The 23,059-nt window shown below is 43.5% G+C and overlaps 1 protein-coding gene across 8 annotated transcripts in view; it reads left to right on the top strand.

Moving 5' to 3' along the window:
• The window catches only part of EPB41L4B (erythrocyte membrane protein band 4.1 like 4B), a 149,086-nt gene that overhangs the window by 86,405 nt on the left and 39,622 nt on the right, over positions 1–23,059 (top strand). For all 8 annotated transcript variants that reach the window (XM_017014815.2, XM_017014814.2, NM_019114.5 and 5 more), the window contains exons 16-17: positions 17,510–17,733; positions 20,837–20,955. In XM_017014815.2, the coding sequence (XP_016870304.1) occupies positions 17,510–17,733; positions 20,837–20,955 (343 nt within the window). The remainder of the gene's footprint in view (positions 1–17,509; positions 17,734–20,836; positions 20,956–23,059) is intronic.

Raw genomic sequence — 23,059 nt, 5'->3', positions numbered from 1 at the left:
GGGCTCAAGCGATCCTCTTGCCTTGGCCTCCCCAAATACTGGGTTTACAGGGGAGAGCTACTGCACCTGGCCTGTTGCCTTTTTTAAGATAGATAATACAAACAATAGTAAAAATTCAAATACAAATAGCCAAAAGTTACTTTTCCTTTCCACCTTCTTATTCCCCAGTTTTCCTTGGAAGCAAACATTGTTAGCATTTTTCCTTGTCAATCTAGAGCTACTCCATGTATAAATGAGCATATATTTAACCAATCAATATTGATGGACATTTAAGCTGCATCAACTCCCTCAAGTTACAGTGGTGCTGCCATTCTTGTACCTTGTGTTTGTGCACTTGAACAAATCTATCTGTAGAATAAATTCCCTCGAAGTAGCATCCAGGTTAAAAGGTATGTGCATATTTAAGTTGGATATTGTCTAATGAAATTTCTCTCCAAATATATTCCACCTGTTTATACTCCCCCCAGCTCACAGACACCCCCAGCAATTATGACAATGCCTTTGTGACCTCACAGGAAGCAAATCATAGCCTTTGCTAGCTTTTTTTTTTTTTTAACTTAGTCTGATGGGTAAAATCCAGAATTTCTGTTTTAATTACATTCTCTGTGAACAAGGCTATGCACCTTTTAATCTTTCTAAAGACGGTTTGTTATATGTTTTCTGTGAACCATCTGAAACCCCTATTCTTGAGTCATGCTCCTTAATAAAGATCAGGCTGATGAAGTACAATTAACCATGTCATCTTAGCATTTATAATAGTGAGGAAAGGGAAGGCTTGAATGAGTTGATATTTACCAGACATTTTTTTAAAAGTAGGTTTCCAGGCTAAGCGTGGTGGCTCATGCCTGTAATCGTAGCACTTTGGGAGGCCGAGGTTGGTGGATCGCCTGAGGTCAGGAGTTCAAGACTAGCCTAGCCAGCATGGCAAAACCCCATCTCTGCTAAAAATACAAACAATTAGCTGGACCTGGTGGCGCATGCCTGTAACCCCAGCTACTCAGGAGTCTGAGACAGGAGAATCGCTTGAACCCGGGAGGCGGAGGCTGCAGTGAGCCAAAATCACACCACTGCACTCCAGCCTGGGTGACAGAGCGAGACTCCATCTCAAAAAAAAAAAAAAAAAAAGTAGGTTCCCAGAAATTCAGGTAACAGTCAGCATGATACTGCCCTGCAGAACTGAAAAAGGGAATGTGGGCAACATAAAGATAGCAAAGGGAAAGGAATTGATTTTGAATATCTGTGTTTCCTTTCCTGTTTGGGAGGGTATTGATAACTTTCCACTCAGGCTTCTTAGATACCCACCCAGACATCATGAATTTCCCTGGTGCATTGACCAAGGAAGGATGGATGTACTTCTAGTTACAATTAAAGTTTCAATATATTGGAACTGAAATTACAGCCACATCCCAAGAGTCACCTGTGGTTTTATTGGATGAAAGGCTGCAGAATTTAAAATATTAAAACTGCTGTAGTCTAGGCCATCCACTAAAAAAGGATTAGAATAATTAGAGGAACATCCCTGTAGGCTCATGTTATAAGAAACCCACAGAAACCTCCTAATCGTCCCCTACTGAATGGTGAATGGTTTAAACATCCACATTCTGCACTGAGACCTCAAAAGCAAGAGGTGTTGCTATGCTAATGCTCAACCAGCTTCATTCCCTGGCTGAATAATGGACACTGTCTGTATTAAAGGCAATTAAACCATTAAGCCCTTAAAATTCATATCAGTGTTACAGCTTCGGAGGCCAACTAAGGATGTTCATAATAGAAGCTTCTGAAAAACCTGCAAGAATTGGGGAACAGAGAGAGGATCATTTGCGGAAATTTTTAAGCACTAATGAATACCAAAATAAATTAATCCTCATCTGTATCACCCTAGAAACACGTACCCAGTGTTCAGCTCCAACTCTGACTCACATTGGTGTCTTGTGCAATTAGAATGTCTAAAACCTACTCTTAACAGATTATGCATCTTATTCATCTAACCTGAACTACATTCCGGGATGAATAATGTTTTAATTTCATTCATTCAGTGAGCCGGATGGCGTCTGGGGAGTGGAAAAATAACACTTCCCAGCTCATGCCTGAGTCTGCCGTAGCTCTGTCAGAGTGCACAGGATGACAAAGAATCTGCTTTGTGGACATTATTTTACACTCACAGCTGAGCTTTCGTGACAATGATTATTTTTGTCTTACTGTCCCTTTGGGGTCTCTCATATAACACTGTTTGAGGATGTATTTAAACAAGTGGTTAGGGGAAAGTCTGTTAATGCTGTTGCCACCTGAAAAAACAGAATAAAGGCACAGGAACACAGAAATGAGACGCACCAAAAAAAAAAATCTGTAAGAAACCCAGAAGTGACCGGGCACAGTGGCTCATGCTTGTAATACCAAAACTTTGGGAGGCCAAGGTGGGCAGATCATTTGAGGCCAGGAGTTTGAGACCAGCCTGGCCAGCATAGTGAAACTCCGTCTCTACTAAAAATACAAAAATTAGCCAGGTGTGGTGGCACACATCTGTAATCCCAGCTACTCGGGGGTCTGAGGCAGGAGAATCATTTGAACCTGGGAGGCAGAGGTTGCAGTGAGCGGAGATTGCACCACTGCACTCCAGCCTGGGCAACAGAGCGATATTCCATCAAAAAAAAAAAGAAACCCAGAATGGAAAGTCTAGCTTATTAGAAGTGACTGTTGTAAGGCAAAACAACTATATTTGTATTTTTTTTTCTTTAGGCAAGAAAAAGATTGAATAAACTTGGTCATGAGCCTCTGAGCAAAAATCAACTCATGAAATAGTAATTCTCTGGACTGCACACACATGCACACCTGTGAAGGCACACACACAATGAGGAAGCCATTGCAAAACCTAGCAAGAATAGCATTGCAACACAACAGCCTTTCTGGCAGAAAAATGTCGGGACCTGCTTACACCTATTTATTGAAATCATTTGATAGTTGTTTGCCAAAAGAAAATTCCAGACTCAGAGATGGAAGCACATATCCTGTCCTACCTCACACAGGACTCAGACCCAGGAACTACTGAACCCCAAAGGCTCTTGTCAGTCCTTAGGATGTGGGATGTTAATCTGCAGTTTTGCAGAGACTACATAATGTAGTTAGGAACAAGTAGGGAATTCATGTCAAAAGTGCAACTTTTATGAATAGATATTTGATAAATTACCTAAGGAGAATTAAAATTTAAATGCACTAAAACTAATTAATTGAATAAAGTTCTGCTATGTTTCTGTGCAGTGCTGGTATGTTGAAGAAGATGCCATCTTTGGCTCCAGGTAACTAATCATCATCAGATCAAGAGCTCCCCATCTAGCATGGATTCATACATCAACTGTGCTAGCATCAGAATTGCTTGCAAAGTTGATTGGAACATTTCTTGAAAGAAATACAAATTGGAAAAGTTTTGGGCCAATTAGTCTCTATAAAGGAATCTAAACTACACCCAAAAATGCAGTTTTGACCTTTTTTTTTTTTTTTTTGAGATGGAGTTTCACTCGTCACCCAGGCTGGAGTGCAATGGCACAATCTTGGCTCACTGCAACCTCCACCTCCCAGATTCAAGCATTTCTCCCACTTCATTCTCCTGGGTAGCTGGGACTACAGGCGTGCACCACTATGCCCAGCTAATTTTGTATTTTTAGTAGTGTTGAGTTTTCATCCTGATTGTTGGCCAGGCTGGTCTCGAACTCCTGACCTCAGATGATCTGCCTACATTGGCCTCCCAGTGTTGGGATTACAGGCGTGAGCCACCACTTGTGGCCAATTTTGACCTTTTCTGAAAAGAAAGATGAAGTAGAGTCAACCTTCTCACTAGTCTTTTTTTTAGATATAAGACCACTAAGTTGCTATAAGAAATCATCCCTAATTAATAGATACAACATTCATAATGTATGACACTTCTAAGATGTCGATACAATTTTCTTCGAAAATCCATTATGAAAAAGGTACAGTGTTTCAAATATAGACTCTACTTGTTGCCAAATAGTATGCTTTCCCTGAATTCAATAAGAACATGTAACAATGTATCAGTCTGTTTAGTCTCTACCAAATTAAAATTGAAATAAGCGACAGCTATCTGGGAAACCAGAATGAGTAAATTGTACTTTCTCTCATCTCTCAGTCGGACATGGCACAGATCAAATTATATCATTGAGCTGTAGTTCCTGGCATACGAATGCTTAATGTCCAAAAATGCAATGTCTGCCACCCAGATAAGTGAGTTACCTAAGGTCACGTAGGCAAACAGCAGCAAAGCCAAGCTAAGTACCAATGCATGTTCCTTTTTTGTCATTAGATTGCTCCTTCCAAACACATGGCAAAGCAGTATTGCCTAGCAATTCAGAGAGCCCAGGTTACCTGGGTTCAAATCCCAGCTCTGCCATTTACTAGCTACATGACTTGAGGAAAGCTCCTTGGTCTTTCTGCTCCTCTTTCCTTATGTATAAAATGAAGATAATAATAATTGTCCTTTCTTCAAATGGTTGTTGGAAGATTAAGTTAACTGATGGTGAAGTACTGGGCACTCAAAAATGTTAGATTTTGGGGTTTTTTGCTCTGTGAATATTTAAAGAGCATGATTACTGCACTGGTGTTCAATCAGGAGGTATGATTCTGGCTGACACCATCTGCTGTAAAAACACACTACTTGAGTCAATTATCCTAAGAGAGTCCCAATTGGAGAGCCACAGTTCCGGGCGAATGGACTGGGTATGGACTAGTGGCAGGGCTTCCTGACTTTTTCTTGTCCTTGGCACACATAGAAAGTGACGTATAGCATGCTGGGACAAGCAGACAAGGCTGCTTGAAGCTCCAGGCTCCCCATGTCCTGCCCACTTACTCCAAGGACTGGGAGAATAAATGGTTCAGCCCACTTGCAACCCTTCTGAGGCTTACCAGTTGGAAAGTTCTACTGAGGTCCTTGTCAGCTTATCCCCAATGTGTTAATTCTGATTAGGAATATGGAATTGTCCCCATTGAGGCTAAAGTAAAACAGGAACCAGTTTGTCCCAACCAGCTCCTCCAGAAGGTGTGTGGAGAACTTGTGTGCTACCTGTGAGTCTACTGTGTGGGCTACATATACACTGATCCCGCCGCCAGGAACCCCAACTTGGAGTGAAGACACATGACATAAATAGCTGAGGAGTAAGTCCAAGTTCAGGCAGCACTTGATACGTGTGCACTGAGCAATCCAGACGAGATGTATGCGACTTTGGATAGGGGAAGTTCATTGCATTTCCTACTGCATCAGCTGGCGTAGTACCTATGGGGGACTTCTTGACCATCCAGACATGGGCATTCTGTTAAAGGCGGGGAATCTGTTGATTTCTTGGCCTGCATGGCTGATGATTTGGTTACTTAGGAGGTAGAAGAAACCCTGCAGTTATTACTGTTGTAAATTCTGTTCAGCAAGGAAGACTGCATTGGAAATGTGTAAGTAACAAGATCCATGGAAGAAGAAAACCCTGACATCTCAGAATCATGAACATGAAGTGAGTGAAATCCAGGGCTTAATTCTCCACATATTCTTTTTCTTCTTCTTGTTGATATTCTTTTCTAAAATTAATTTGTGTGGGTACATATTAGGTGTATGTATTTATAGGGTATATGAGATGTTTTGAAACAGGTATGCAATGTGAAATAATCACATCATATATGTTTTACTGTTTAGAAAATCCAATTTCAAAATGTCATAGAAAATAGACTTGAATATTTTTTACATGGGCTGTGAATTTAGAAAGCATAGATAATCCGAAAGAGAAAGGCTTTATGAGCCTCTCAGATGAACCCACAATTTGTAATAGTATTTTAAAGAGTAGGAAGGTGGAACATATGATCAAAAAGAAAGCGGCACAGAACTTTTTATAAGGACTCCAAAGTTTTGTAGATGCTCACTTCAGTTGGGGCAAAAAGATGAGCAATTTAATGACACCCAGTTTTGAGGATGGTATGTGAGACTAACAGGCAGAAACAGAGCTACCTGACTTTTGTTGTGCTTTTTTCTTTTTCAACAAGGAAGCTAGTCACTATACTAACTGCAGAGAGTGAAGAGAACAAACAGAAGAAAATTGAAGTCCAAGATAAGAGAAAGAGTAGTCAGGAAATATTTTACTGCTTTTTGATTAGCTCAAGTCTTTAGGCTCAGAAAAATGGTCTCCCAAAACACTGAGAAAATTTGCACTTGTCATTGCTGAGTCAGCATCAATACCTTTGAAAAAGTCTTGGGAAAATGCTAGATAAGTAGATGGACAGTTTTTTTTGGAACATGAATTCCAAAAACTAGGCTGATAAGCTGGAGTGCAATACTGAGGAAAGTTTGAGAACAGAGTCTTTTGTAAGCACTTAGTAAAGGAAGCAGTGTTGACTTAGGAACAGCACAGATTTGCTGAGAATAAGTCATGCTAATCTTTCAAGATTTTTAGTAAGCTAAGAGTGGAAGAACTGTCTAACCTGATAAGTAGAATTTATCAGAAACTGACATTTAATGGTGAAACACTAGATAATGTATAAACTTCAGAAATAAGGCAAGGATAACTGCTGATATTCAATATTATTCTGGAGACCTTACCAGTGGAACAAGCCAAGAAAACAAAATTAGGAATAACTACTGGAAAGGAAGAAACAAAATTCACGTGATTCTCTTCTTAAAATCCAAGTGAATTCCAACTGGTAAGAGTTGTGCAAAGTGGTCAGAGGCAGAAATATCCTAAAGTCAGCAGCTTTGTATATCCATCTAGTCATTAAAAAATTAGACAATAGGGGCCAGGCGTTGTGGCTCACACCTGTAATCCCAGCACTTGGGGAGGTCGAGGTGGGCAGATCACGAGGTCAAGAGATCGAGACCATCCTGGCCAACATGGTGAAACCCTGTCTCTACTAAAAATACAAAAATTAGCTGGGCATGGTGATGCACGCCTGTAGTCCAAGCTACTCAAGAGGCTGAGGCAGGAGAATCGCTTGAATCCAGGAGGCGGAGGTTGCAGTGAGCCGAGATCACGCCACTGCACCCCAGCCTGATGACAGAGCAAGACTCCGTCTCAAAAAAAAAAGGGGGGGATATGTAATAATTAATAAGATCTCATTTTCAATTGTGACAAAATTGAAAAATACCTAGGAATAAAGTTAATGTTTTGTACCTTAATGAAAAAGTTTAAAAATTCTAACTGAAGGACATTTTAAAAGATCTGAGTAAATGGAGAGAAATATGTTCCTTACGAATATATTCTTTCAAATTAATCCATAATATGTAATGCTTTAAATCAGAACTCCAGTGGGATTTTTTGGAAGTAACTTGAATTCTGGAATTCAAGAATTCAAGTTACTATCACAAAAGGAATCTAGAAGACTAGGCACATGATAACAGCTAAGAAAAAAAAGAAAAAGAATGATGTGAGAAAGGGAATAAGATTTATAATGTCACATATGCATGTATATATTAAAACAAAAGTAATTAAGACAGTCTGATATAGGATTAGATTAGTAGAACAATAAAAGTATGAAGAGGCCAGGCACAGAGGCTCATGCCTGTAATACCAGTGCTTTAGGATGAGAAGTGGGAGGACCGCTTAAGACCAGGATCTGAGACCAGCCTGGGCAACATGATGAGACCCTGTCTCTATAAAAAAAATGAAAAATTAGCCAGGTGTGGTAGTGCACACCTGTAGTTGTAGGTACTCGGGAGGCTGAGAGAAGAAGATTGCTTGAGCCCAGGAATTCAAGGCTGCAAGTGAGCTATGATTGTGCCACTGCACTCTTGCCTGGGCAACAGAGGGAAACCCTGTCTGTAAAAAACAAATATATATATATATATTCTTCATATATATATGTTCTTCATATATATATTCTTCATATATATTCTTCATATATATATTCATATATATATATTCTTCATATATATATTCTTCATATATATACTTCATATATATATTCTTCATATATATATTCATATATATATTCTTCATATATATATATTCTTCATATATATATTCTTCATATATATATATATTCTTCATATATATATATATATATATATGAAAAATCCAAAGAGAGGTTTTGATTGTATATAAGTCATGGGCAATCCGAAAACTGAAACTACTCTAGGCATTTCTTACAGAGGGAATTTAATTCAGGGAATTGGTTATACAAGGGCTGAAAAAACTAAGAAACTTAATTGGACAGTGAGGTAACCTATAAATTAGCAACAAACAGAACCTGCTTATCACTCCTAGAGCTGGAGGGACAAGGGGAAGTGGCAGTGTTATAGCACCCAGGAGCTAAGGTAGCAGGAAGACAGTCTAGAGGGAGCTGGAGCCACAGAGAACTCATGGCTGCTTTTGGAAACATCACTGGAGGCATGAAGAAATGAAGGAGAAATACCCTGACTTGTCTCCTGTATTCACCCTCCAGTCCATGTCAGTGCCTCCCATTGACCAAACCTATGTAAAAGCCAGAGGACAGGGAGCCTGAGAAGTAAAGTTTCCTGTAAACAGTGTAAGTTGCAGGGGAGCAGAGAAAGGATCTGAGAGCACTCAGGAAAGTGGCAGACACATATGAAGATGGCATCACAAGTTCATGGGGCAAGGGTGAATGATTCTTTGGGTGATCTTAGAACAATTGGCTCTCCATTTCAGAAAAAGTTAGGACTTTACTTCACAATATACACATAAACTCCTGATGAGTTCATAATCGAATTGTGAAAAATAAAAGCTGGAAGTTCACTCTCATGCCAACATGGAGCTCAGGCAAGTCCCCTCTCCAGTTAGCATGCATTGCCAACTCCAGGCCTTAGCACATGCAGTGCCCTCTACCCAGAGCACCCTATGCAGTCCCTCCCCCAGCCACTGCCATCATCCTTCAGGAGCCAGGACCTGCTTCAAGCATCACTACCCCAGGAAGTCTTCCTTGTTGGTTCCACTTGGGTTGGGCACCCCTACCCCATGTATCAAGGTAGCAGTGAGCTCCTTGAAGGCTGATATGGTTTGGCTGTGTCCTCGCCCAAATCTCATCTCAAATTGTAGCTCCCACAATCCCCAAGTGTTGTGGAAAGGACCTGGTGGGAGATAATTGAATCGGGGAAGTTTCCCCCCTACTGTGGTAGTGAATAAGTCTCATGAGATTCGATGGTTTTATAAGAGTTTCCCCTTTCACTTGGCTCTCATTCTCTCTTGTCTACCGCCATGTGAGATGTACCTTTCACCTTCCACTATGATTATGAGGCCTCTCCAGCCACGTGGAACTGTGAATTTATCAAACCTCTTTCTTTTGTAAATTGCCCAGTCTCGGGTATGTCTTTACCAGCAGTGTGAAAACGGACTAATACAGGGCAAAGATAACATCTCATTTGTCTTTATCCTTGTGCATGGCACAGTACCAGGCACAAGAGCTGGCCTTCAAATATGTACCAAATGCACTGATATTTCATTTTGTTCTCCGTCTAACCAGTATTAGTTGAGCACCTGCTATGTGCTTAGTACTTTTCTTAGCACAGTGGAGGACACGAAAACATGTGATGTGACAGTCTCTGTTCCTACAGAGTTAACTGTATGGCTGGGAGGACAAGATACATACACAAGGATGTCTTAGCCAGGGGGTTCTGAGGAGGACTTGGATTTTCCTGATGAGTGCACTTGCTGCCTTAAATAGAAGCCAAGACAGATGGAAAGAGGCAGCAGATGGGCAGCACTTGAGGCAGCGAGCAGAGAGGCAGGAGTCTGGACTGTGTCCCAGGATCAGGCAGGTACCTGCTGTGTGACCTGGTCACCTCCCTCCCCATAGCGAGCCCCCATCCCCCCATGTGCAAAATGAGGAGGTTGGACTACTACAGCAATGGTTCTCAGCCCTGGCCACACATTGGATTTAGAGATAGATTATGATGTAATTAGTCTGGGGAAGGGCCTGGGCATTGATACTTTTCAAAACCTCTTCTTGTGATATTTTTATCAGCTTTAAGATACACATCAATTGTACAACTTAATGTTTTTTAGTATTTTCACCAAGTTGTGCAACCATCGCTGCAATATAATTTTAGAACATTTTCATCACCCCTAGAAGAAACTCCACACCCATTAGCAGTCACTCCCCCTTCCCCCCGTCCACCATCCTCCCTAGTCCTAGGTAGCCGGTAATCCACTTTCTACCTCTATGGATTTGCCTATTCTAGATGTTTTATATAAATGGAATAATATAATACTTGTCCTTTTTGTGTCTGGCTTCTTTCATGTAGTATATCATGTTTTCAAAGTTTATCCACATCATGGCCTGCTCAATATTTCATTCCCTTTTGTGGCTGAATAATGTTCTTTTGTATGGATAGACCATGTTCTGTCTATCCATTCATCAGTTGATGGATATTTGGGGTGTTTCTACCTGTTGGCTCTTATGAATAATGCTGCTATGAACATTCACATGTAAGTTTTTGCATGGACCTGTTTTCATTTCTCTTGGGCATATACTAGAAGTGGGCTTGCTCAGTCATATGGTAACTAATGTTCAACTCTTTGAGGAACTGCCAAGCTGTTTTTCAAACTGGCTGCACTATTTTGCATTTTCTCCAGCAGTGTATAGGAGTTTCCCCTGGTTTATTTTATTTTATTTTATTTTATTTTTATTTTATTTTATTTTTGAGATAAAGGCTCCTTCTGTCACCCAGGCTGGAGTGCAGTGGCACAATCTCGGCTCACTGCAACCTTCACTTCCTGGGTTCAAGTAATTCTCGTGCTTCAGCCTCCAGAGTAGCTGGGATTACAGGTGCCCACCACCACACCTGGCTAATTTTTGTATTTTTAGTAGAGACAGAGCTTCGCCATGTTGGCCAAGCTGGTCTCAAACTCCTGACCTCAAGTGATCCACCTGCCTCGGCCTCCCAAAGTGGTGGGATTACAGGTGTGACCCACCGTGCCCGGCCTCCCCCTAGGCACTTTAATATTTATCCAGGTTTTCAAACCACCGAACTGGATGATATCTGAGGGGCTCCATTTCTAAAATTCTGTGATTTCTTATCCAGGATTAGATCCCCAGGGCTCCCCTGAAAAGCCCATGTCACTCAGAGCTGGGCTGAGCTGTAGAGTCTGTGATTGGCTTTTTGGGGCATTGATCACTCAGCCTTGTTGTTGAGAGAAAGCCATGCCCAGCACTGGTCACAATTCTGGTGGTGGATTCCAGAGGATACCATTATGCAATATGCAACAATTTTTTTTTTTTTTTTTTGAGACAGGGTCTTGCTCCTTGCCTAAGCTGGAGAACAGTGGCTCGATCTTGGATCACACTGCAGCCTGGACCTCCCAGGCTCAAGCAATTCTCCATCTAAGCCTCCTGAGTAGCTAGGACCACAGTATGTGCCACCATACCGGGTTAATTTTTTGTTGTTGTTGTGGAAATGGGATCACCCCATGTTGCCCGGTCTCGAACTCCTAGGCCCAAGCAATCCTCCTGCCTTGGCCTCCCAAAATGCTGGAAGTACAGGTGTGAACCATTGCGCCCGGCCTAGCATGCAACAATTTTGACTGAGCACCACATGTTTGGTTGTCTGGCAGTCCAGGGTCAGGGAGAGGAGATGCTCTGGTTGGGGGTACATGTGGGATTAGGCAGGGCTGGAAGAGCCCCTGTAACATCACTTGTTCTGCAAGCAATAAAGTCTCTTATGGCTAGGCCCCAGTAGGAACACTAGCTTTTCTGGAGTTGGAGGCCAAATGGGAACTGGGTCTTCCCCTGAGAAAAGGGAAGAGAAGAAATGAGATCAGGGTCAGTTCTCACTCTGCATTTACTAACAGGGCACATTACTCCCTTTCACTAAGCCCCAGTGTCTAAGGGGGCACCAGCAGCTTCCTTGCAGGAAAACTGAAAATTAACCATTAAAGTGCCTAGCACAGTGCTAGGCACATAGCAGCCCCTTCTTCCACACTAGATTTCTTTTCAACTGCCAGCTCATGAAGGCAGAGACTGAAGCCTACATCTGTCCTCTGTCACCCACCCTGAAAACCAGGATGTGGGACCTCCTTTCCAGAATGCCAGGAGTCTCATGAACCTCAGTCTCTGGTGATGTTGAGTGTGCAGCAGGCCTCATCTCCTGGGCCTTAGCCAAGGTCTCTGAGTACTGCTGGACCTTCTAGGGTGGGCTTGACCTCTGAGGTCTCTATGAAGAGGGAAGATGCGCAACCTAGTGAATGTCATTTACATTGTAGTCGGTGAGTGGCATCTCCAGGAGTTCCGCAGGGCACAATCCATGAAGCCATGAGCAACCCCACAAAACTTCTCCATGTTAGAATCTTCAGGATGATCCCCCAGGCGTGTGAGCTGAGAAAGCACCCGAGTCATTCTACTGCTTGCTTAGGAACCTTTGCTCTGCGAAAGACCTTTCACCTGAGCAGATTCAGGCGGCTTCAGGCAGCTTCTCTGACCCTCATCTATTTCTCTTTTCATTTGTTTCTTTCTCTGCCTCTCTCCAAAGTAGCTATAAGATGAAGGTCACACATGCATATTTTATTTGACGTGTTATGAAATGCACTTTCTCACTCCCTGCATATATATCTTTTTACTGTTTAACTCTTTACTCTGGGTTTCCTTGAAATAAAAAAGTTTTAAATACCACTCACTTTTAACTTGGAAAGACAAATGCATGATACCACTGTGCTCTTCCAAGTCCATGGCAGACATCAATAATCAATCACAGCACTCTTTCCCCCTGAGTTGGGCACAACCTCAGACTCCTTCTGAATCTTGCACTCCAAGCAGAGAGTGCAAATCAATTGGAGTTGGCATGACAGATGATATCTATTTGCCATCCCTCAGGAACTCTTACTCAAAGCTTTCCAACTCCACCTCCAGCCCTGAATGTACGCCAGATCTCTGCTACAAGACATCTTTCCCTTTGGGTGTTCATTCTCACACTCTTTGTTACCCACGTGATGGTCGATCATAATTTTCTCTGCTCAAAGCAGCTCTCATTTGCCACCTCTTTTTTTCTATTAATGACATGCCATTTGCCTGGTCCTCTAGGCTAAAAAATAATTGGAGTTTTCTGACCCTTCCATATCTCCACATTCTCCCTTTCTCAAATCCAGCTAGTATCCCTATCTTTTCCTTTTGATGTTTCTCTGATTTGTCCCTCCCACCTAGACAATGATGGTGTCAGACCTTTAATAAGCTGGCGGCAGCAAGGAAGAAGGGCAGGGTGGAAGACGAGCCCCTCAGTTGGGAAGCCCTCTCCAGGCCTTCCAAGCAAAGGGGAATTTTCTCTGTTATGAGCTCCCAGTCTCTGCAGCTCCTTAGGACAGATATTATTTTCAACATATTTGCAAGACAGGAAAAATATTAACAGGCTTTGGGGTCCACAGACCTGTCGTCAAATCCTAGCTGCACAACTTCATTAATCCATCCTTCCTTTCATTCTTCCTTCCTCCCCCTCCCTCCCCTCCCTTCTTCCTTCCATCAAATATTTATGGAACACCTGCTATATAACAGGTAAAGGTCTCCATGTTTTTAAAAGGGAATCTTTTCTGTAAAATAGCTAGCACAGTATCTGAGACATACAGCAAGTACTGGATAAATAGTTGGGGGAAAGGATGATTCTCAGATACCTAAATTTGCCCAGAAATCGCTTAACCCAACTCACGTTACAGCTGAGGGAATGGAGGCTCAGAGTGACTGCCCAAGCTTCTCCTGCAAAGTAGGGGCGGAACTAAGACTTGAGCCCAGGTTTTTCCACTCCAACTCAGGGCACTTTTTGCTGCCTCCATGGGGCATGAAGAGGGTGGATACTCTGGTTATGTTTCAGGTTGGAGAGGCGAGGAGGGATGGTGTTTCCCAGAAGCCAAAATCGTGCCTTCTTCCACATTCTTACACACACACACGCACACACACATATGCTCACACACACCAACACACGCACGTGCACACACGCACACACACAGAACCGTCCTTGAGCAAAGTCTCCAGGAGGCAGCCAAGATGGGTCAGAGATGCAGCTCATGGGGCAATGTAGGGGACAAATAGTGCCATTTCTTCTGGACTGTCTCCTGCATCTGCAACACAGTCCTCAATGACACCTCCTCCCAATGTCCCCAAGTGACAGGTCTGCAAGCCCTGCTTACACAGCTTCAAAATATCCCAGAAGGCAGTTCACCTCACTCCATCCACCAGGTTAGTCTAGATCCCGCCCTGCGGCAGTCTCCTAACAGAGAGATACTGGAGTCTCTCCCCAACCAGTCTCCTCCACACAGCGCTCAAAACAAACTCTCCAAAATCTAACTCCCTTGCTTAAGCCCTTTCCTTGATAACCAGGCACTCTAAGCCCTTCATAACTAGCCCCAGCCTGTCTTAGTCTCCCTTCCTGCTACTTTCCTCCTCACTTCTCCAGACATCCTGCTCTTTCAACCACCGTTCCTTTGCTCATGCTATTCCTTAGGCCTGGAACAGCTGTTTCTACCTTTTCCACTGAAAAGAAATTCTACACACACAAATGACAAAATAACACACCTCCTCTGATTTCAAGCATGTGGGTTATTAATTGGAAAAACCCAAGTACTTCAAGCAATAAATAAATAAAGGCATTTACTGGAGCTTATAATGGAAAAGTTCAGTGGTAATGCCAGCTTCAGGTGTGGCTGGAACCAGGAGCTAAAATGATACCATTAAGTTTCTTCTCTCTCTGACTACCTCTAACCTCTGCTCATCTTGTCTTTCTTTGTGCATTGGCCTCAGTCTCACAGGGACTACTTCTCTGTGTCCAAAAAAGATGTTCACAAAGAGCCCTAACTTCCATCATCCTTACAGCCGGAGCCAGCTTACCCATTACACACAGTAGGCACACAATACTTAGACTCACAATACTTTCAGGGGCCCACGAAAAGGTTTTAAATATTTTTTAAAATAAGAAAAAAATGGATTTTCCGTTGAAGAAAATGTTTTAGTATATGTTATTAACATATTTACTTTTATGCAGTTGTGAAATTTAATTTTTAGTTAATTTTTATAGAAAATGGACAAAGGTGGCCAGGCACGGTGGCTCACGCCTGTAATCCCAGCACTTTGGGAGGCGGGTGGATCACAAGGTCAGGAGATCGAGACCGTCCTGGCTAACACGGTGAAACCCCATCTCTATTAAAAATACAAACCAATAGCCAGGAGTGGTGGCAGGTGCATGTAGTCCCAGCTACTCAGGAGGCTGAAGCAGGAGAATGGCGTGAACCCGGGAGGCGGAGTTTGCAGTGAGCTGAGATCGCGCCACTGCACTCTAGCCTGGGCGACAGAGCGAGACTCCATCTCAAAAAAAGGAAAGAAAATGGACAAAGGCAAAAGTGCTTGTGGCACAAAAAGGCACAATAAGGCCCTGCTTGCCTGTTACAAAGAAAGAGAGAGCCTTCCTTTCAGTTTTCATGTGTTAAATCTTAGGAAAAACTCTGATTGTCCCTAATTGGATGACATTCCAGAACACTCTCATTAGAAGGATGCAGGACTCTGATTGGCCAGGCTCAAGTCTCAGGCCCACCCCTGAGGAGGAAATGTCAATCCCATACAAACACAAGGAATGGGGTTTCCTATAAGAAAGAAGATTCTGTTTCAAGAACTGTCCAGCAAAACCTAACTGTCTTCCCCCGAATGCTCTTTCCCTTACAAACACCTTCCCCCAGGAGAACTGATTGCTTCCACTTCTGCATTTTCTTAGCAGTTTGTTCTAGTATGATTGTAAGTGACTGAATCACAGAGCTTCCTACTCTGGAGTGTGAGTTCCTTGAAGACAGAGTGAAAGAGTGGGCAGTAGAGATCTGAACCATGGGAATGAGCAGAAAAAGGGGTTAGCCCTGCCAGGGAATAAGAGGAAGGGATCTTTATCTGGGTCTTAAAGGCTGGAAGTCTTCCTGGAAGAAGGGGTATTTTCACTGGGTTGACAGATGAGGAAGGACTTCAGGAGGCACCAAGAAGTAAGAGGCATCGGGATGGGAAGGAGTTAGGGTGGGAAGTAGAAGGATGTAGCAGGAGATGAGGCTGAAAAGAGAAAGGGCCAAGACTGGGGGCGGGGGGAGGTGCTGTCAGTGCCACATAAAGGATTGTGGCTTTTATCCTTCAAGCCAGGGCTCTTCACCTGGGTCCATGGAGAGGCTCTAGAGGGCCTGATATTGTGTGTAGAATGTTGTTTGTTGGTACAGGGAAGGTTCGTGGTATTCACCAGATTTTCAAAGGGGTTTCTGTCTTAAAGTGGTTAAGAATTATTAGTGTTAGGCTGGGTGCGGTGGTTCATGCCTGTAATCCCAGCACTTTCGGAGGCTGAGGCAGGCAGGTCACTTGAGGTCAGGGGTTTGAAACCAGCTTGGCCAACATGGTGAAACCCCATCTCTACTAAAAATACAAAAACTAGCCAGGCATGGTGGTGTGCACCTGTAATCCCAGCTACTCAGGAGGCTGAGGCATGAGAATTGCTTGAGCCTGGGAGGTGGAGGTTGCAGTGAGCTGAGATAGTGCCACTGTATTCCAACCTGGGCAACAGAGTGAGACACTGCCAAAAAAAAAAAAAAAAAAAGAATTATTAGTATTAGAGATATATTCAAGCTCCTTGAAGAAGGAGAGCATGGTCTGGAATGTAATTAGAATAGCACTCTGGCAATTACTCTGTGGAGGATGGACTAAAGGAACGAGCAGAGACGGGGAGAGCCAGCAGGAATCTGTTACAAGAGTCTAGGTGGGAGATGACACGGCCTTCAAATGGGGCAATCCTAGTTGTTTTTTGTTTTTTTTTTAAAAGGAGGTGGTCCACTGGAATTAAAAGATGTTGTAAGCTGGGCACAGTGGCTTACACCTGTAATCCCAGCATTTTGGGAAGCCCAGGAGGGTGGACCACTTGAGCCCAGGAGTTTGAGACCAGCCCAGGCAACATAGCGAGATCCTGTCTCTACAAAAAATTTTAAAAATTAGCCAGGCATGGTGTCATATCCCTGTGGCCCCAGTTGCCTGGGAGGCTGAGGTGGGAGAATCACTTGAGCCTGGGAGCTTGAGGCCACAGTGAGCTGTGTTTGCACCACTGCACTCCAGCCTGGGCAACACAGCAAGACCCTGTCTCAAGAAAAAGATGTTGCAGCACTGATGTTAACTGGAGCTTTCTGCATGTTGTGGGTGACAGAGAGGAAGAGAAACTGACCCCAAGACTTCTAGTTTGCATTATGATCTTGTCATAGGATTATTTACAAATGATTTTTTATTATTGTTTTTACCTCTTCCTCTCATTTAGAGAATGCCTTTAAAAAAAAGAAATAAATATTATTTCATTTAATTTCAAATACTTCTTTAAGTTACAAGACTTAAAGTCTCTGATATATACAAACTTCCACTTTGCTCTTTTTCTTAAGTATAATATTACCATTGTATATACTTTATAATAACTACAGATCTAGTTTTTGAGTTTATTTCTTTCAGTGTTTAATGCCTAGAAAACGTCTTTGAAAGTACACAGAGGGCTTGCAAGGCATTCTGCTTTTCTAAATCCTGACTGTGTCACCCTCCACAGCTACCCGCTCCCTTCCCCAGTGCTTAGCAGCTCGGACCGGTTGCCTTTTGGCATTGAGGAGAATGGGGGCACACCGTTCCTCACCGCAGCTTCAGGAAGGCATCACCACCAGCACCAGCATCAGCATCAGCACCAGCACCACTCAAACTACAGCCTCTCACTGACCCTGGAGAACAAAGAGGGGCCTCTGAGGTCCCCAAACTCCAGCAGCAAGTCCCTTACAAGTGAGTAGGGGTGGAGGGGGCAAGGCAGGAGAAGGGGGAGCAATGCTGCAGGGCACGAGAGTTCCCTAGATTCTTAAGACAGACCCTTGCGGTGCAGCACACAATGGTTGTCATGTTATGCTGGGCTACCGGGTTTGGGCCAGAGTAGACAAGAGCCTTATGCATTTGAGCAGAAGCACTTTAGGGATTATGGTTTACCAGTAAACTCTAATTTCATTATAGGGTCACAGTTCTCCACCTCCTTTCTTTTTTTCTTTTCTTTTTTTTTTTTTTTGAGATGGAGTCTGGAGTCTGGCTCTGTCACCCAGGCTGGAGTGCAGTGGCATGATCTCGGCTCATTGCACCCTCCCCCTCCCAGGTCCGAGCAATTCTCCTGCCTCAGCCTCCCGAGTAGCTGAGATTATAGGCATGTGCCACCACACCCAACTAATTTTTGTATTTTTAGTAGAGACAGATTTTGACTATGTTGGCCAGGCTGGTCTCAAACTCCTGACTTCAGGTGATCCACACATCTCGGCCTCCCAAAGTGCTAGGATTACAGGCGTGAGCCACCATGCCCGGTCAAGAAGTGAAGGCTTTTGAAAAGTGATTAAGTCATGAGAGTTCCACTCTTATGAATAGATTAGTGCCTTACAAAAGAGCTGGACGAAAAAAATCCCAAAGTGCTGGGATTACAGGCGTGAGCCACAGTGCCCCGCCTCCACCTCCTTTCTTAACAGTTCTCTGCCTCTGTGGTACCCAGCACTGGCTTGAGCAATGGAAAAGAGAAAGAGGGGAGGGGAGTGATGGCTGGACTTTCTACTTTCTTCATCATAGAAAAACTCATTCTATCCCATTTTTGACATTCCACTTGGGAGAGCAAAGTGGTGTCAGGTAGATCCAATCTGTCTACTGTTATGGGTCCCAGAAAGAGAAGTTACAAAAATAGAGAGTGAGCAATTAGAAATTTTATTATTTTATTTTATGACAGGGTCTTGCCATGTTGCCCAGGATGGTCTTGAACTCTTGGGCTTAAGCAACACTCCTGCTTCAGCCTCCCAAAGTTCTGGGATTATAGGCATGAGCCACCATACCCAGCCCAGAAATATTGTTAGCAATATGATAGAATGAGTTTATATCTTTTAAATCTAATAAAAATATGGGCTTTGATTCGGCATGTCCGTTATTTTATTTTTCTAGAAACTCACTTTTATTATACGTTACCAAAGAATTCATCTTTGGTATGAAAAGAACCTGTTGTTTATCAAATGTGGTTTGAAAAGTACTGAGGGCTGGACGCAGTGGTACGTGCCTATAATCTCAGCTACTCAGGAGGTTGAGGCAGGAGAATCGCTTGAAACTTGGAGGCAGAGGTTGTAATTATGCTTGTAATCCCAGCACTTTGGGAGGCCGAGATGGGTGGATCGCCTAGGTCAAGAGTTCGAGACCAACCTGGCCAACGTGGTGAAACCCTGTCTCTACTGAAAATACAAAAATTAGCTGGGCCTGGTGGCGTGCACCTATAATCCTGGCTACTTGGGAGGCCGAGGCACGAGAATCACTTGAACCTGGGAGGTGGAGGTTGCAGTGAGCCGAGATGGTGCCACCGCACTCCAGCCTGGGCGACAGAGTGAGACTCTGTCTCAAAAAAGAAAAGAAAAGAAAAGAAAAGTACTGAAGTGGAGGCTTCGATTCTAGCTCTTACCCTTGAACTGAGTTCCCTCTTTGATCTTCTATTTTCTCATCCATGAAATAGGGTAGAGGGTATTGAGATGATGACCAAGGAATCTTCCAGCTCTGATATTGTGTGAGTCTGTGAGCTGTTGAGACAGGATGGGCCATCCAACCTTCACCTTGGGGCCACAGGGAACAACTCTGTGTCAGCTGAGCTGGAAATGGAAACTCGACACCCACTTGGTATTGAAGAATCCGAACTCTGTCCCTCATCACTATCCACACTGCCCATGCCCTAGTCCCTGCCTCATCTTTGTATATCTAAATAACCATAACAGCCTCCTAAGGGGCACCCGCTCCAGGACAATCTCCAAATAGTAGCTGCCAAAGTCATAGTTCTCACCACATAACTCTGACCACATGCCATAAGACCTTTCATTAGCTCTTCACTGTCTGGGATAAAGTCCTCGCTTCTGAGCAGGGCCATACACAGACCTTGCGTATCCTGACCCCTGCCAAGGTCTTCATTCTTCCCTCCACTCCTCACCATACTCTAGCTACACAGAACTACTCTCTTCTTACAAAATACTCTACTGGGTCTCAACTCTGTCCTTTGCACCTGCTGTTCCCTTTGCCTGGAATACTTTTCCCCACCTTGTTGAACTCCTACACATCCCTTAGCAGCCCATTCAAATGTTCGCTTGTCAGTGAAATGTTCTCTAACACCCATCCTCAGTTCCGTCCTGCTCCTTTAGCAATTAAATAAACCTTTTCTCAGTCTTCTTCGGAATATCTCCACATGTGTCCGTCATCCCCATTAGATTAAAATTTTGTCTCATTCACCTCTTTCTTTCAGCTCCCAGATCCCAGTTGCTAACGATACTTGGCACAAGTTTTAATATGTAATGAATATTTAATATTTAATGAATATTTAATGTATTAATGAGTAAATTCAAGCTGGAAGGAGAAGTAGTGGCAAATGAATCCAAAGTAGCACAGAAATAAAAATCAATGGATTTGATTTTAGGAACATAACATGGCTTTTAAGGGCACGTTATATGCCTGTTTGCCTGAACACTAATCTTTCCAATTTGCATAATGCTTTTCCATTTTTAAAGCATTTATACATAAATGACTTCATTGGATATTCACAGCAACCCTGCAAGGTAAGTAATTTTATTTTCATTTTTAAATGGCTCAGAGGGTCAGAGAGGCAAAACAACGTACCCAGGGGCGTCCAGCTCATGTGTGGGACAGTTAAGCCTTGAAACCTTGACCTCAGATATTCTCACACCCTATCAGCTGATGCATACTGAAGGCATGAGAGCTGCTGGAGGAGGAGGCCGGCAGAAAGGGTGCTGGGAATCGGGCGCTGGCAAGTGTCCCTTTTCCCCTGTATCTATCTGTCCTTTCAACCTTTCCTTATTTATTTCTCCTGGCTGCTTTGTAGAACTGAGTCCAGGAACACCTGCCTTGTTCAGTGAAGCCGCTGCCCATCTAAAGAAGCTGGAACTGGAAACTGTGAAGGCTGCTGGACCCTGGCCTCCTCTGCACATCAACATAAACAAGGTGCCAAGGGCCGGGGCTCTGCCATGACCATGGACTTGGTGCTGACATCAAACCTCTGATTACTACCCTAGCCTGCCTGCTAAACCAAGTGCCTTTGCCTTGGAGGGATCTCTATTCCATCTTTCCTGACATTTCTGTTCAGGCTGTCTTTTAGGAGCAAATATTTACTTACCTTCCTTTTGGGTGAATTATAGCATTAGGCGTCGTTCCCAGTGTTTTGCCTGACAGGCTAGATCTGTTTGTTAGTTGTCTCTCCCTCCTACTAGACCGAAAGCTCCAGAGGGAGCATCCACATTTACCGCTTTGCATTTCTAGCCCTCTATCTCCCTCTGACAATGCCTGGCACATTGTAGATGTTCAGTAACCATTTGCAGATGGAAGGAAGGGAGGGATTAAGATACAGAAGGAGAAGGAGACAGGGCAGAAGCCAGGCCCCCTTTTGACTAGACCTATTCTTACATCCAAAGAGGCAGCCTTATAAAAGTCAAATTTTATCTTAGAACGATACATACCACTGCTGGATTCAGTCTGCCATTTAGTTCAACCTTCTCAATGTCTCAGACCAGAGGAAGGGAAATGACTTTCTCAAGGTTGCACAGCCCTTGACAACCTTCTCAATGTCTCAGACCAGAAGAAGAGAAATGACTTTCTCAAGGTCACACGGCCCTTCACAAGGTTGCAAAGCCCTTGACTCTCGATCCAGTGTCCTTGGCACTCCAACATGCTTCCTCGTTTTCTTTGCCAGCGTTTCTCAACTTTGGCACTAGCAACATTTTGGCCTGATGACTCTTTTTTGCAGTGGCTGTCCTGTGCATTGTAAAATGTTTTGCAGCCACAATGCACTAAATGCCACTAGGGACCCCCATCCAGTTGTGACAACCAAAAATGTCTCCAGACATTGCCAAATGTTCTCAGAAGGGCAAAATCTCCCTAGTTGAGAACCACTGTTGTACATACATTTTAATTTTTTAAATCCCCTAAGGAAGAATCTTTTTCATTCATGGTTCCTTTCTTCCTCTTTAATGCTTAGCTTTGTCCCTTTATGAGAGGGAATAGGAAGAATTTGGAAGAACTGCTCTGTGCAGCATGGGAAGGTTACACCTCCTGCCCTTCCCGTCCCTGACCTTTCCCATAATCCCTCAGCAGGGCGGCCTAAAGTTCCTCTGATTACTAATGGACCCCAACTGCAGGTTTAACCTTCAAAAAGCCCTGCTCATTCACTTTTTTTTTCTATACCTCCCTCCATGATTGCCAGCTAGAGAGAATTCCTCCTGCAGGATGGCTCTGATAGCCATTCAATCAACAGATCTTTATTGAGCAGGCTTGCCCTAGCTGCTAGGGATTCAACCCAATGCACCGTGTGCCCCCTGATTGGTCTTCTTTTTCTTAGTCGCCTGGTTTTCAACTTTTCTTCTGCAGTGTACACAATAAATGGTTTTAATGGGGGCTTATCCAGACTTTGGCAAAATCCAAAAATATTTTGCAAGGAAATACAGCATATAGTGTAGCACAGAACTCACAAGCTCTATAGTGATTTGCAATTGCCATGACTATTGGTGGAGCGTTGACAACAGCAGTTTGCTCTGGGTGAAGGCCTACCTGAGACACCTGTGGGTTATCGAGCATTTCCCTGGAGGTCAAGTTACAACTCCCTTCCTATCTCCTCCACTCAAAGAAATTGGCCTGGCATGGTGGTTCATGCCTGTAATCCCAGCACTTTGGGAGGCTAAGGCGGGTGGATCTCTTGAGGTCAGGAGTTCAAGACCAGCCTGGGCAACATGGCGAGACCCCCCCCATCTCTACTATAAGTACAAAAATTAGCAAGTTGTGGTGGCGGGCACCTGTAATCCCAGCTACTAGGGAGGCTGAGGCAGAAGAATCGCTTGAACCCACGAGACAGAGGTTGCAGTGAGCTGAGATCCTGCCACTGCACTGCAGCCTAGGTGACAGAGCGAGACTCCCTCTCAAAAAAAAAAAAAAAGAAAAGAAATACATTAGTAATCAAGTAAGCTAGAGTGATGTGATTATACAGATAATTTTGACTTTGTCCCGACACACACACACACAAAATATATTACTTCACACTTTGATTTTTTTTTTTTTT

Source organism: Homo sapiens, chromosome 9 (assembly GCF_000001405.40).
Source record: "Homo sapiens chromosome 9, GRCh38.p14 Primary Assembly".
Taxonomy (NCBI): Eukaryota; Metazoa; Chordata; class Mammalia; order Primates; family Hominidae; genus Homo; species Homo sapiens.
Note: the sequence above shows the minus strand (reverse complement) of the source record. Positions and strands in the feature narration are given on the sequence as shown.